The sequence below is a fragment of the Homo sapiens genome, chromosome 11, assembly GCF_000001405.40.
Source record: "Homo sapiens chromosome 11, GRCh38.p14 Primary Assembly".
NCBI lineage: Eukaryota > Metazoa > Chordata > Mammalia > Primates > Hominidae > Homo > Homo sapiens.
The window spans coordinates 84,719,856-84,736,194 of record NC_000011.10 but is presented as its reverse complement, the minus strand read 5'-3'; the positions used below and the strand labels follow the sequence as shown (position 1 = coordinate 84,736,194).

Below are 16,339 nucleotides of genomic sequence, written 5' to 3'. Positions count from 1 at the left end.
ACATATAAGGACAAAGACATACAATTAAATGGAAAAAGGATAGTCATTTCAACAAATAATACAGAAACAATTAAATATACATGTGCAAAAAAATGAACTTGGATCCATACCTCATATCATATATAAAAATTTACTCAAAATTGATCATTGCTCAAAATGTAAAACTACAAAACCTCTAGAAGAAATAAGAGAAGAACATCTTTGTGACCTTGGGTTAAACAGATTTCTTAGATATGAAAATAAAAGTATGAACCATAAAGGAAAAAATAATAAATTGCATTCATCAATAATAAAAACTTCTGGTATTCAAAAGACACTGATAAGAATGAAAAGACAAACCACAGACTGTGAAAAACTATATGCAACATATATCTAATATAGGTTTGAATCTAGCAGTGTGTAGAGGGAAATTTATAGCACTAAATGCCCACAAGAGAAAGCAGGAAAGATCTCAAATTGACACCCTAACATCACAACTAAAAGAACTAGAGAAACAAGAGCAAACATATTCAAAAGCTAGCAGAGGGCAAGAAATAACTAAGATCAGAGCAGAACTGAAGGAGTTAGAGACGAAAAAAATCCTTCAAAAATTCAATGAATCCAGGAGCTGGTTTTTTGAAAATCAACAAAATTGATAAGACCGCTAGTAAGACTAATAACGAAGAAAACAGAGAAGAATCAAATAGATGCAATAAAAAATGATAAAAGGGATATCACCACCGATGCCACAGAAATACAAACTACCATCAGAGAATACTATAAACACCTCTACGTAAATAAACTAGAAAATCTAGAAGAAATGGGTAAATTCCTTGACACATATATCCTCCCAAGACTAAACCAGGAAGAAATTGAATCTCTGAATAGACCAATAATAGAATCTGAAATTGAGGCAATAATTAATAGCCTACCAACCAAAAAAGTCCAGGACCAGACGGATTCACAGCCAAATTCTACCAGAGGTACAAGGAGGAGCTGGTACCATTCCTTCTGAAACTATTCCAATCAATAGAAAAAGAAGGAATCTTCCCTAACTCATTTTATGAGCCCAGCATCATCTTGATACCAAAGCATGGCAGAGACAGAATCAAAAAAGAGAATTTTAGACCAATATCCCTGATGAACATTGATGCAAAAATCCTGAATAAAATACTGGCAAACTGAATCCAGCAACACATCAAAAAGCTTATCCACCATGACCAAGTTGGCTTCATCCCTGGGATGCAAGGCTGGTTCAACATACGCAAATCAATAAACATAATCCAACATATAAACAGAACCAAAGACAAAAACCACATGATTATCTCAATAGAAGCAGAAAAGGCCTTTGACAAAATTCAACAGCCCTTCATGCTAAAAACTCTCAATCAATTAGGTATTGATGGGATGTATCTCAAAATAATAAGAGCTATTTATGACAAACCCACAGCCAATATCTTGCTGAATGGGCAAAAACTGGAAACATTCCCTTTGAAAACTGGCACAAGACAGGGATGCCCTCTCTCACCACTCCTATTCAACATAGTGTTGGAAGTTCTGGCCAGGGCAATCAGGCAGGAGAAAGGAATAAAGGGTATTCAATTGGGAAAAGAGGAAGTCAAATTGTCCCTGTCTGCAGATGACATGATTGGATATCTAGAAAACCCCATCGTCTCAGCCCAAAATCTCCTTAAGCTGATAAGCAACTTCAGCAAAGTCTCAGGATACAAAATCAATGTGCAAAAATCACAAGCATTCTTATACACCAATAACAGACAAACAGAGAGCCAAATTGTGAGTGAACTCCATTCACAATTGCTTCAAAGAGAGTAAAATACCTAGGAATCCAACTTACAAGGGATGTGAAGGAACTCTTCAAGGAGAACTGCAAACCACTGCTCAACAAAATAAAAGAGGATACAAACAAATGGAAGAGCATTCCATGCTCCTGGATAGGAAGAATCAATATCATGAAAACGGCCATACTGCCCAAGGTAATTTATAGATTGAATGCCATCCCCATCAAGCTACCAATGACTTTCTTCACAGAATTGGAAAAAACTTCTTTAAAGTTCATATGGAACCAAAAAAGAGCCCGCATTGCCAAATCAATCCTAAGCCAAGAGAACAAAGCTGGAGGCATCATGCTACCTGACTTCAAACTATATTACAAGGCTACAGTAACCAAAACAGCATGGTACTGGTACCAAAACAGAGATATAGGCCAATGGAACAGAACAGAGCCCTCAGAAATAATACCACATATCTACAACCATCTGATCTTTGACAAACCTGACAAAAACAAGAAATGGGGAAAGGATTCTCTATTCAACAAATGGTGCTGGGACAACTGGCTAGCCATATGTAGAAAGCTGAAACTGGATCCCTTCCTTACACCTTATACAAAAATTAGTTCAAGATGGATTAAAGACTTAAGTGTTAGACCTAAAACCATAAAAACCCTAGAAGAAAACCTAGGCATTACCATTCAGGACATAGGCATGGGCAAGGACTTCATGTCTATAACACCAAAAACAATGGCAACAAAAGCCAAAATTGACAAATGGGATTTAATTAAACTAAAGAGCTTCTGCACAGCAAAAGAAACTACCCTCAGAGTGAACAGGCAACCTACAGAATGGGAGAAAATTTTTGCAATCTACTCATCTGACCAGGGACTAATATCCAGAATCTACAAAGAAATGAAACAAATTTACAAGAAAGAAACAACCCTATCAACAAGTGGGCGAAGGATGTGAATAGACACTTCTCAAAAGAAGACATTTATGCAGCCAACAGACACAGTAAAAAATGCTCATCATCACTGGCCATCAGAGAAATGCAAATCAAAACCACAATGAGATACCATCTCACACCAGTTAGAATGGCGATCATTAAAAAGTCAGGAAACAACAGGTGCTGGAGAGGATGTGCAGAAATAGGAACACTCTTACACTGTTGGTGGGTCTGTAAACTAGTTCAACCATTGTGGAAGTCAGTGTGTCGATTCCTCAGGGATCTAGAACTAAAAATACCATTTGACCCAGCAATCCCATTACTGGGTATATACCCAAAGGATTATAAATCATGCTGCTATAAAGACACATGCACACATATGTTTATTGTGGCACTATTCACAATAGCAAAGACTTGGAACCAACCCAAATGTCCAACAATGATAGATTGGATTAAGAAAATGTGGCACATATACACCATGGAATACTATGCAGCCATAAAAAGTGATGAGTTCATGTCCTTTGTAGGGACATGGATGAAGCTGGAAACCATCATTCTCAGCAAACTATCGCAAGGACAAAAAACCAAACATCACATGTTCTCACTCATAGGTGGGAATTGAACAATGAGAACACTTGGACACAGGAAGGGGAACATCACACACCGGGGCCTGTTGTGGGGTGGGTGGGGGGAGGGATAGCATTAGGAGATATACCTAATGTAAATGACGAGTTAATGGGTGCAGCACACCAACATGGCACATGTATACATACATAACAACCTGCACATTGTGCACATGTACCCTAGAACTTAAAAGTATAATAAATATATATTTATATATATACATAAAACTCTCAAAACTTAAGAAGAAACTAACAATTTTAAAGGTAGGTAAAAGATTTGAATTGATACTTTACCAAAGATAGCAGGGAAAAAAACCACATGAAAAGATGTTCAACACAATGAGTCATTAAGGAAAGGCAAATTAAAACTATAATGAGGTACTATTACACATCTATTAGAATGGCTACAGTGAAAATGATTGACAATACCAGGTGATGGTGAAGATGTGAAGGATCTAGAATTCTCATACATTGCTGGTGGGAATGTAAAATGAAACAAGAACTTTGAAAATCAATTTAACAGTTTCTTAAAATATAAACACATATTCATCAGGTTATCAAGCAAATCCATTCCAGAAGAAAAGGAAATATATCAGTTCATGCAGAGACTTATGCACAGATATTCGTAGCAGCTATATAACTTCAAACTGAAAGTGACTCAAGTGTTCATCAACAAATATAGACAAATTATGTAATATATCTTTACAATGTAATATTACTTGGCAATAAGAAAAGAAGTAAACTATTGGCACATGCAACCATCTAGATAAACCTCAGAATAGATATGTTGAGTGGAAAAAATTCAGACTCCAAACACATATTGTATGATTTCATTTATATAAACCTCTTGAAAATGCAAATAAATCTTTAGTGACAGAGAGCAGATGAGTGATTGCTTTGGGATGGGGGATTGGGAAAGAGTATGAGGGGTAGAGGTTATAAAGGGGCACGTGGAAACGTTTGAAGGTGATAGATATGTTTATTATCTTGATTATGTTGACAGTTTCACAGATGTATACGTATGTTGAAAATTACCAGATTTAAATGTAAATATTTCCAGTTTATTTTATGTCAGTTCTACGCCAATAAATCTGCTTTAAAATATTTCTTCTGTAGTTTCCTAAGGCTTTTAGAATAAGAACAAACATTTTAAATATAATCTGACTAGTCTCACCTCTACTGTCTTCTTCAGCCTCTGTTCACTTGATATTTCCCCTTATTTTCTGTATTACGTTTATCTCAGTCCTTCCCATGTTCTTGTTTGCTGGTACCACATATTCTTTGTATATCCTATTCCCTCTATTTGAGATGCTTTTCCCCTTTCCGTTTGTCTAGTTAATTCCCACTTATTTTTCTTATCTCAACTCACTTATCACTCTCCTAATTATGCCTTCCTACCTCCATTTTTAGATGAGATTCCCCTATATATGCTCTTATAGAGCCATGTAGCTCTCCTCGAAGCACTTATCCCCATCTGCCTTCTCCATTGGTTTGTAATCTCCATGAGGCCAGCACTGCATTGATCTGTACTTAACCACTGTATCCCGAACTTGGCCTAGTGTCTAGCACATAGTAGATACTTCAAAGTATGTAATTAGTAACCAAAAGGGGGAGATAAAGTTAATGTGCTAACGTCGTCAACCAAGCAAAGTTTTTCCATGATCAGATGCTAACTAAAGCAAATACAATGCACATCTTCCAATGCATTACATTTGAGATTGACAGTCCTTGTATTAAAGGAAGAAAGCACCAGCATTCATGTAATACAACTAACTCACACACTGTACCAAAAGGTAATTTTCTTATAACAATCTTATTTTAAACAAACTGGACATAAGAATCTAGGTGGGCTGTACTTAAAATTTGGTACCATCAGGGACTTGAACCATTATGCTTGCAGCTCATTAACAGAAAAAGTGTTAATTGTATCATTATCTTAAATCTGTGATACATAGCTGGAGATTGTATGAGAAATCTGATGTCTTCACAGTTTTAGGGGAGGAATTGTTTCATTGAGTAATCATTCAACTTGCTGTATGATTAGCTGAGGGCCCCTTCTTGTGACATAATAGAGTGGTGTTCCTGGGGGTATGTAAGACACCTCATTTAGTTCATGCAGCTAGAAGAGCCATCTATTGTTCAGATGAAAGGGAGCTGATAAGGAAAATCTATTTGTAGTAGAGAACCACACAGTGGCAATATAAAGCCATTTAAAATGAGCCATGTTCTTGTCAGTCTTCCCATGAATTGCTGCTTTCAAAGTTGAACTCTGATTTAGTATATTTTTTTGACAATGATCAATTTGCCTTTGTTTCACAGATGGGCAACACAATATAAAAATAGAATTAGTGATTTCACAGGAATTTTGCTGTGCTTGGTTGACATTTGTTTTAAATAAGTTTCTTGGCTAGCTTTGGTGTGTAATGAATGAATGAATAAAAGAATCAGTGAGTGGACAAATGGATATTATTAAGCATTTATTAATAGTATGTGCCAAGCATTTTGATAGGTACTTTTACATGTGGCATTTTAGTTAATTCTCATAGGAACCCTGTGACAGAGGTATTATTACTCAACAACCTCCTCCCCTTTTTTTGTACTTAAGAAAATTAACTTTCAGATTAAGTAACTAACTCAGAATTGCATAGCAAGTGTCCAAACTGGGACTGGAACATAGATCCAACTTTTATCATTTCAACATTGACATCAAATTTGGTGAACAATGAGGCCTAAGAAGAGTTCTTCTTTTATTTGAATTTTGCCACTAAGAATATTCTCAGAGGTGGTGTAGAGGGTAGTGTTTCGGAGTTGCTTTTTCAAAATGGAAACAAGGCTGAAAGTGACTGTCATGAGAAGTCTCAAAGGCAAAATTGTGAGGGGACAATAATTATTTCAAAAAACACTTGGTGCTAAAACAAAATGTCAAAATTGATTCAGAACGAATAGGCTGGCATTTCTTCAATAAAGAGTGTACTCCTTCTACCTAGGAGGTGGCAGGGAGGGGAGCTGGGTCAGGACTCAAAGATCTTCACAATATTTCACCTAGGGCCTAGGTGGAAGCAGTGGAAAGCCTGGCCAAGATCACTTATTTATTGGTTCTTTATTCATCCATTTATTGACTAATCAGCTAAATAAGAAAACTATTTCAAGTCAAGGTCATGCAAACATTCTAAGTATGACTTAGATAAAGGCCAAGCAGTCACTACGTGTGACTCGCTCAAAGTAGTCTATACTTGGGGATAGGTGAGTGGACATAGAGGACTTAGAAATTACGGTGAACAGAACTCTCCACTCCAATTCAACAGAATATGCATTCTACTCAGCACCTCATTACACTTATTCTAAAATTAACCACATAATTGGAAGTAAAACACGCTTCAGCAAATGCAAAAGAACGGAAATCATAACAAACAGTCTCTCGGACCACAGTGCAATCAAATTAGAACTCAGGATTAAGAAACTCACTCAAAACCACACAACTACATGGAAACTGAAAACCTGCTCCTTAATGACTACTGGGTAAATAACGAAGGCAGAAATAAAGATGTTCTTTGAAACCAATGAGAACAAAGACACAATGTACCGGAATCCCTGGGACACATTTAAAGCAGTGTGTAGAGGGAAACATAGCACTAAATGCCCACAAGAGAAAGAAGGAAGGATCTAAAATTGACACCCTAACATCACAATTAAAAGAACTAAAAAGCAACAGCAAACAAATTCAAAATCTAGCAGAAGACAAGAAATAACTAAGATCAGAGCAGAACTGAAGGAGATACAGACCCAAAAAAACCTTCAAAAAATCAATGAATCCAGGAGCTGGGTTTTTGAAAAGATCAACAAAATAGACTGCTAGCCAGATTAATAAAGAAGAAAAGAGAGAAGAATCAAATAGATGCAATAAAAAATGATATAGGGGCTACCCTCACTGATCCCACAGAAATACAAACTACCATCAGAGAATACTATAAACACCTCCATGCAAATAAACTAGAAAATCTAGAAGAAATGGATAAATTCCTGGACACATGCACCCTCACATGTCTAAACCAGGAAGAAGTTGAATCCCTGAATAAACCAATAACAAGTTCTGAAATTGAGGCAGTACTTAATAGCCTAACAACCAAAAAAAGTCCAAGACCAGACAGATTCACAGCCAAATTCTACCAGAGGTACAAAGAGGAGCTGGTACCATTCCTTCTGAAACTATTCCAAACAATAGAAAAAGAGGGAATCCTCCCTAACTCATTTCATGAGGCCAGCATCATCCTGATACCAACACCTGGCAGAGACATAACAAAAAAAGAAAATATCAGGCCAATATTCCTGATGAACATCGATGCGAAGGTCCTCAATAAAATACTGGCAAACCAAATCCAGCAGCACATCAGGAAGCTTATCCACCACGATCAAGTTGGTTTCATCCCTGGGATGTAAGGCTGGTTCAACATATGCCTTTCAATAAACATAATCCATCACACAACCAGAACCAAGGACAAAAACCACATGATTATCTCAATAGATGCAGAAAAGACCTTTGACAAAATTCAACACCCCTTCATGCTAAAAACTCTCAATAAACTAGGTATCAATGGAACGTATCTCAAAATAATAAGAGGTATTTATGACAAACCCACAGCCAATATCATACTAAATGGGCAAAAACTGGAAGCATTCCCTTTGAAAATTGGCACAAGACAAGGATGCCCTCTCTCACCACTCCTATTCAACATAGTGTTGGAAGTTCTGGCCAGGGCAATCAGGCAAGATAAAGAAATAAAGGGTATTCAGATAGGAAGAGAGGAAGTCAAATTGTGTCTGCAGATTACATGATTGTATATTTAGAAAACCCCATCGTCTCAGTCCAGAATCTCCTTAAGCTGATAAGCAACCTCAGCAAAGTCTCAGGATACAAAATCAATGTGCCAAAATCACAAGCATTTCTATACACCAATAACAGACAGAGAGCCAAATCATGAGTTAACTCCTATTCACAATTGCTACAGAGAGAATAAAATACCTAGGAATACAACTTACAAGGAATGTGAAGGACCTCTTCAAGGAGAACTACAAACCACCGCTCAAGGAAATAAGAGAGGACACAAACAAATGTAAAAACCTTCATTCTCATGGATAGAATTAATCAATATTGGGAAAATGGCCATACTGCCCAAAGTAATTTATAGATTCAGTGCTATCTCCATCAACCTACCACTGACTTTCTTCACAGAATTGGAAAAAAAAACTACTTTAAAGTTCATATGGAACCAAAAAAGAGCCTGCAAATGCCAAGAAAATCCTGGACAAGAAGAAGAAAGCTGGAGGCATCATGCTATCTTACTTCACACTGTACTACAAGGCTACAGTAACCAAAACAGCATGGTACTGGAAGCAAAACAGATATATACACCAATGGAACAGAACAGAGGCCTCAGACATAACACCACCATATAAAACCATCAGATCTTTGACAAACCTGACACAAACAAGCCATGGGAAAAAGATTCCCTATTTAATAAATGGCATTGGGAAAACTGGCAAGCCATATGCAGAAAACTGACACTGGACCCGTTCCTTACACCTTATACAAAAATCAACTCAAGATGGGTCAAAGACTTAAATGTAAGACCTGGGACCGTAAAAATCCTAGAAGAAAACCTGGGCAATACCATTCAGGACATAGGCATGGGCAAAGACTTCGTCTAAAACACCAAAAACAATGGCAACAAAAGCCAAAATTGACAAACAGGATCTAATTAATCTAAAGAGCTTCTGCACAGCAAAAGAAACTATCATCAGAGTGAACAGGCAACCTACAGAATGGGAGAAAATTTTTGCAATCTATCCATCTGACAAAGGGCTAATATCCAGAATCTACAAGGAACTTAAACAAATTTACAAGGCAACAACCCTATCAAAAACTGGGCAAAAGATATAAGCAGACACTTCTCAAAAGAAGACATTTATGCAGCCAACAGACATATGAAAAATGCTCATTATCACTGGTTATTAGAGAAATGCAAATCAAAACCACCATCTCATGCCAGTCAGAATGGCAATCATTAAAAAGTCAGGAAACAACAGATGCTGGAGAGGATGTGGAGAAATAGGGAGACTTTTACACTGTTGGTGGGAGTGTAAATTAGTTCAACTATTGTGGAAGACCATGTGGCAATTCCTCAAGGATCTAGAACCAGAAATACCGTTTGACCCAGCAATCTCATTACTGGGTGTATACCCAAAGGATTATAAATCATTCTACTATAAAGACACATACACACGCATGTTTACTGCAGCACTATTCACAAGAGCAAAGACTTGGAACCAACCCAAATGTCCATCAAAAATAGACCAGATAAAGAAAGTGTGGCACATATACACCATGGAATACTATGCAGCCATAAAAAGGGTGACTTTATGTCCTTTGCAGGGACATGGATGAAGCTGGAAACCACAATTCTCAGCAAACTATCACAAGAACAGAAAACCAAGCACCGCATGTTCTCACTCATAAGTGGGAGTTGAACAATGAGAACACGTGGACATAGGGAGGGGAACATCACACACCAGGGCCTGCCTGGGGGTAGGGGGTATGGGAGGGATAGCATTAGGAGAAATACCTAACGTAGGAGACGGGATGATGGTTGCAGCAAACCACCATGCCACGTGTATACCTATGTAACAAAACTGCACATTCTGCACATGTACCTCAGAACTTAAAGTATAATAATAATAAATAAATTACAGTGAACACAAAGGGTTGACAATTATGGGGGAACATGATGCATATTAGAGTCCATTTATATGGGGTCTGAGAATGTATCATTGCATTTGTGTGTTCTTCAGTAAGAGGAGTATGGAAGAGCTGAGAAAGGGTCTAAGGAGAGTCACTGAGACAGTAAAACTTGTTAAGAAAGGTTAAAGATTTAGAATTGTTCAGTATAAAGAGATTATACATATTGGGTGAGTCTAATAGGTTTATTCTTTTCTGTTAACTTTCATTAAAAAAAAAATCAGACAAGTGACACAAAGCCTTTATAATTTACTGAGTGGCTAATACAAACCAGATAAAGATGACAGGCATTTTGCAATATGTTATCTCATTCAAGCCTTATAGCAATGCTATAGTATTATCACCATTTTACGGAACAAGAAATGGTAGCTTAGATAAGTTAACTAGATTGGTCAATCATTTGTATGGACTTTGAGTATATTTGTTCGTTCTTAATTGTATATACTTTGTTACTGTTAGGAAGAGCTTCGTTACTCTCATTTCAGAGTAACCTAGTCAACTGGTTTGTAAACTCATTGATGGCAGAAAGACATTCATATCCCTCTCTGCCTTACATGTTTCAGGAAACTCAATGATAAAAATGCAATGTTCCACTTACATGAAAACATCTCTACTAAAGATTAAATGAAATAAGTGGACTTCAATTTACAGTAGGAGAGGAGAGGGAAAGGGATTTAAAGGTTGAAATCACACAGCTAATAATGCCAAAACCTTATATGTTTGATTGTCTCCAAAGTTCATGTGTTATCTAAAAACTATGCTTTCCTTATAGGGGTCATAAGGAAGAATTCTCTCAAAGAGTTACTAAATAACAAACACTATTATAGAGAGTAGATGAAAAATTGGGATGTATTAGCTATTAGTGATAGCTGGGATAGTCTATTTGTTAAGACCTTAGATCCTCAAATCAGGTGGCTTGGCTTCAGATCTCAATTCTGTCACTCGAATAAGCCATAGTCTCTTATATTACTGTTATCAATATTCTCTCTTTCCTCCCCCTGAAAGAATTATCATTCCCCAACCTTTGTCATCAGGTTGACCACATGACATTCCTTAGCTAATAAAATGTAAGCTGGAAGATGTTTTTAATGTCTGAACAGATGTTTTAAGATCTGCTGCATATTCAGCCATTGATCATTTTTCCTTCCACCATGAGAACATTAGATAGTGGCTACTCTTCTATCTGACAGAAGCTACTGATAGACCGTACTCTTCTGCCAATGGACAACATGGGCTAGAATGATAGCTAAGCTATGAAGGACATCTAACATGAGGAAGAAATAAACATTTGTGATTGAAAGTCATCAAAAATATTTTTGTTAGTTGGTTCATTTAGCTGATTAGTATACCAATTTTGTTACCTTGGGCATTACTTAATCTCGCCCTGTCATTTGCTTTCCTTTTTTTGGTAAGATTGAGTGATTGTGATGGTTAAATATATTAATGTAGTTAAAGTACTTAGACCAGTGCTATACTGGTAAAAGGTTTTTTGCAGAAAAAAGTCCTGAATTGTAGTGTTTGTTAGTTTACATGGTATAAATATTCTCTCATGACTGATTCAAAGCTACTAGCATGATGTCACTGAATGTGGAATTAGACCGAGTTACACACAACCAGCTGTCATGAGTAGGATTGGCTCTAGCACTCTGTGGAATTCAGAACAGTGTACATAGCAAGCATGATATTAGTGCCTATCAAATAGTAAGTGTTATAGAAGAGCAAATTTTCTGAAGATAGGTAACTGAACAAAATGGTTTCTCAAATTTACTTTACATTCATAAAAATGTATTTAGAAGATCACTCAGAGAACTTCAACATTGGAAGCAAACTTAGAAATAATCTAGTATACCTATTTCATCTTAATAAAAAAGGAAACTGAAGCTTAGAGAGGCTGAGTAGCTTGCTCAAAGTCACACAGAGGCAGAGAGTAGGAAACAGCACCATGGCTCCTAGTAGCCAATCTATTCTTTTCCCTCGCAACATGAACAACCCCTTTTTTAAAAATTGCTATGAAAAGGATCAGCAAAGAAAAAAGATGCATAACTAGCTAATGCCTCTTACTGTGTCCCAGTTTCTGATTAAGTATAACAATAATAAATACAAGATCAAAATTAAAACCTGGTTACATTTATTGATAATCCTGTTTTTTGTAATTATGAGTCCATTTTGAGGAAAGTTGTCATTAGGAGAAATGCTTAATAGTGTATTGTTGTGATGCATCATTTTATAAAAGTGATAATTATTAGGAAGAACTGTAAATTTTATCAATCATTGAAAGGTCTAATTAAGAGTAGTTATTTTGACTATAAAAATGAATGCGTCATCTCCTTGCATTTCCTAGTAATATCTCCTAAAAATATTGCAGTACACCCCCATGCAGTACACTCTCAAATTAGTGCTTTTCAAACCAGTAATGCAATGTGTTGGTATCTTAAGGTAACAGTAATTCATTTATTTTAATAATAGTGGTTACTGGCTGTAACTATGGAATGCATTGTCATGGAAACCACTTTCCCCCTCATCTTCCCCTCCAATTTACCCCAGAGTTATTATTTGGAGAGGAGAATTAAGGGAAAGCATTTTCTCTAATACATATAAACGGATAACAGATAAACACATACACATGCACATACAGAGAAATGAACTCTCACTGATTAAAGTTAAACATAAAAAGTCAAGGAAATGAAATATACATTTTGTTTTATATTTTGTCATTTCACTTTATCAATCTAAACTAGCACAAACTGTAAAATGGGGAATAACTTGCACATAGCAGCCTTAATGCTGCCCTAGAATAGGAGGTCAGCTTTAGCTTGGGTAATTCATCAGGGAAAGACTGTGTTAGATATTATTGGAACATCACAATATGGAGCATACAATACTTTTGGGGTGTTTGAAATCCAAATTATAGGCTAATGAATAAGGGAAATGTTGTACAGCTTTTTTAGGATCTATTCTCTTGGAAAAACCAGCCGTAATTATAGATGCTCTGTAGGTGGGAGTGCTCACACAATCACACTTTTTATGCTAACATAAAGGAATAAAATGGTAAAGGATATACTTAATCTGTACATTTGACTTTAAATTTTCACAGAAGGCCTCAGACCAGAGTTTTGCTCCTAAAATGTGACCTAGTACATTTAAGAACGTATAGATTAGACCTCCTGAGTCCCTCCAGCTATTCATTAGATTGAATCAGTACTGATTCCTAATGGAGAAATCTACTAGGCAAGGACTTCTGCACTTAGTGTAAGAATCCCAAAACCTTAGGCATGGCTGCCCTCTACAGTTAGAACCAGGTGTAACTCAACTCTGAGGGTCTTTCCGTGTTGAATTTTGCTCATACTTTGTTCCATATTGAGTTTCCTTCAGATAAGTCTTATTTCATAAAGAGGACTTGCATTCCTCTCACAAGGGGGCTGATTAAAATGTAGATTTATTGACATTCTACTGGCCTATGGGATGAAAATGTAGGGTTGGGCTTCATAATCCATATTTATAATAAGCATCATAGAGAATTATGACATAATCAGGTTTATTTTCTATTAACTTGGGAGAAGGGACGAGAGTATTTTGGATATGGGTGGGGCAAAGGCATGTTATAAGGCACTGTCTTTGACTTAAAGGTTTACAAGTTGGTATGTTCTTTTGTTCTAACCAATACATTTAAACTTTCTAAGGAGGAAGCATACCATGATATTGAGGCTCTTATTAGTTTCGGATATAGGTGGTCTGACATTCTGATGGAATTGCATCAGGAGGATGTGGTTCTAACAGTTTGCCATGGATACTTTTGACTATGTTGTTCCTGTATTTCAGGTGGGATTTCTGAATTTAGCACCAAATTGTTAAGTGTCTTGGAATTACCACATTCATGTAAATGTGACAGTCCTGGTCCTTCCCAAATAAATCTGAAGACTTTGGAACATGTTTCTGGAGAAGTGTGTTATGTCTCTCATGATGCTGTTTTCTAAACTCTCCTCTACTACTTTTCTTTGAACCTAACCTTCAGGTTTATTGATTATGTGACTTGAGCAAGTGATATAACACTAAGGGGCTCAGTTTCTTCCCCTAGAAAAAAAATATGTCAAATAATATCTACCTCTGAAGCTAAGAAATGAAATAAGCTATGTAAGTTAAGAGCAGCTACCATGTACTGGGGCTTACCACAGGAATGTGTTGTTCAGTATATCTGTCTAGTCTTCCTGACAACCCTTTAGGTTAGGGGTTAATACCATCTAGTTACAGGTAAGCAAACAGGGGTTTGGATAATGTAAATGACTTACACAAAGCCACATCTAGCACCAGAGCCAGAATCTGTTTCCAAACTCGGATGTTTTGCTCTCTTTCTACCAACCATCTGTGAGGCATAGTGCCAGGCACCCAGGTGGCACCCAAAGAGTGCTAGTTTTACCCACTTCCTACCCCCACACCCTTCTTATCACATTTGTTTTTGTCTTCCATAAGCAATTTTGCAGCTGTGCCAGCCAGCCACATGCTGATTTTTTTTTTTTTTTGGTCTTTCTGCAATTTTGACAGCCTCAGTTAAAAACAAAAAAACAAACAAACAATAAAACATCCATCAGTCTTGTCATTCATACTTCTGGAACAACATAAATACTACTTCTGGGGTTTCCTGGAGTCTCAAAGACATCAAGGTGGGGAAGGGGCAGACACTTCTTTTTTGAGTTTGACAAATGTTATGTCAAATAAAGCCTTGGTTCTGAGGCCGCTTCCCTACCCAGGGAGTGAGTAGGCTCGCTGAACCAGAAGTCAACCTCGTAGGGCACCAGCGAAATCATTTTGAGCCTGTTTTCTACCCCAGATTTCTTTGCTGGCCCTCTGCCCCCGGCAAGGCATGCTGTTGTCAAAGGGCTGGGAGGAAGTTCCCTGCCGCGCTCCGAGCGGGCCTCCCCTTCCCGGGAAGTCGGCCTCGGAGGTCTTCTACCCTCGGGTGGCTGTAGCGGTGGGGGCCAAATGCAGTCTCGGGGTCACGTCAGCGCGGGGAGGTCCCGCGCTCCCACGCTGGGGACTCCTTCGTGGCACCAAGAGCGCCCAAAGGCAGGGCCAGTCTGGCAAGCACAGCGCTTCCTCCCTTTCTCAGCCCCTTCCTCCCACCCCACTTGCCCGGCCAGCGCTCCCCACAGTGACTCTGGATTGCAGCAAGCCACTGGCTTTTTACCAAATCGGGAGCTGCAGTATGTTTTCTTCTTCTTCTTCTTCTTCAGAGGGAATAATTTCAGCCCCCTTCAGCTCGCATGACAATCTTGTGTGACTGGGGAGAGTAGGCGGGCACATCCTTTTACATGCTAATACTGCCCCACCTCCTTTGAACCCTCCTCTAAGTGCCTGGCTTCCTTTTATTTTTATGGTTTATTTTTATTTTATTTTATTTTTATTTTACCTCCCCCAAATTCACCGTAGGGGGAAAAATTCTTTCTTGGTTCTGTCCCTCCCCCCACACGCCTCGTTCCCCAGGGAAGGGAGACCCCGAGAGGCTCGGTACTTGCCCGCGGCGTTGCTTCCACCGGGGCTCCGGGATGGCCACGGCGGGTGCAGGGGGCAGTGATCGAAGCGGCAGCTCGGTCTAGGCTGTCGCTCCATGTGCCCGGCGAGCACAGCGTTTGGGTCCCCCAGCGAGCTGCCACTGCCGCAGCCCGGAAGGAATGTCCCCTGTTGTTAAGGACCCTGACTGTTTTACACCAATGATTTGCCACTGCAAAGTTGCTTGCACCAACAACACTTTATCGTTGATGTTTGGATGCAAGGTAGGAAGAGGTTCATGTCTTTTTAATGCATGTTGCCTCCCTCGGGGGAGAGAACAATTCCTTCTGTTGCTTGTTTATGTCTGCCTGTTGGGAGAGTGACAGAAGCTGCGACTGCTCTGCTCTTTCTGGGAGCCAGCTGGGTTTGGGGGCCAAGAGATCGCACTGATTTTCTGGCGTCCGATGTTGGGCTCATAACTCAATGGTGATGGGACCCTGGTCTCTAACATACAGAGGCTACAAGAGCAGATGCAGCTCGGAAATGGGGCACCTTGGGTGGCTCTCTGCTTGGGATCTCCTTATGCATTTAGCTAGTGACTGGGCTCCAGACTGCTAATTTGGGAGCTCCTGAACTCATCTCAGGTTACTACCACCTAGAGCCCCAACCCACTGGGCTAACTAGCAGGAGTAAGTGGGGTGGTCGATGAACTCTAGATAAACTG

At 38.4% G+C, this 16,339-nt stretch overlaps 1 protein-coding gene and 1 long non-coding RNA gene across 36 annotated transcripts in view; one reads left to right on the top strand and one right to left on the bottom strand.

Annotated features, from left to right (window-relative positions):
• LOC124902727 (uncharacterized) overlaps positions 1-15,783 on the bottom strand; it is an 80,292-nt gene extending 64,509 nt beyond the window's left edge. Inside the window, exon 1 of one of the 2 annotated variants that reach the window (NR_189147.1) lies at positions 15,642-15,783. This is a non-coding gene — a long non-coding RNA (uncharacterized LOC124902727). Of the gene's footprint in view, positions 1-15,313; positions 15,409-15,641 lie in introns of those variants that run through there. The other variant, NR_189146.1, reaches the window with a different exon arrangement.
• DLG2 (discs large MAGUK scaffold protein 2) overlaps positions 1-16,339 on the top strand; it is a 2,173,362-nt gene that overhangs the window by 892,179 nt on the left and 1,264,844 nt on the right. For 8 of the 34 annotated variants that reach the window (NM_001351276.2, XM_017017265.3, XM_017017281.3 and 5 more), the window contains exon 1: positions 15,253-15,899. The exons of the other annotated variants lie outside the window; for them this stretch is intronic. In NM_001351276.2, coding sequence (NP_001338205.1) covers positions 15,798-15,899 — 102 coding nt within the window. In that variant the 5' untranslated portion in view covers positions 15,253-15,797. Of the gene's footprint in view, positions 1-15,252; positions 15,900-16,339 lie in introns of those variants that run through there. 34 annotated transcript variants of the gene reach the window in all.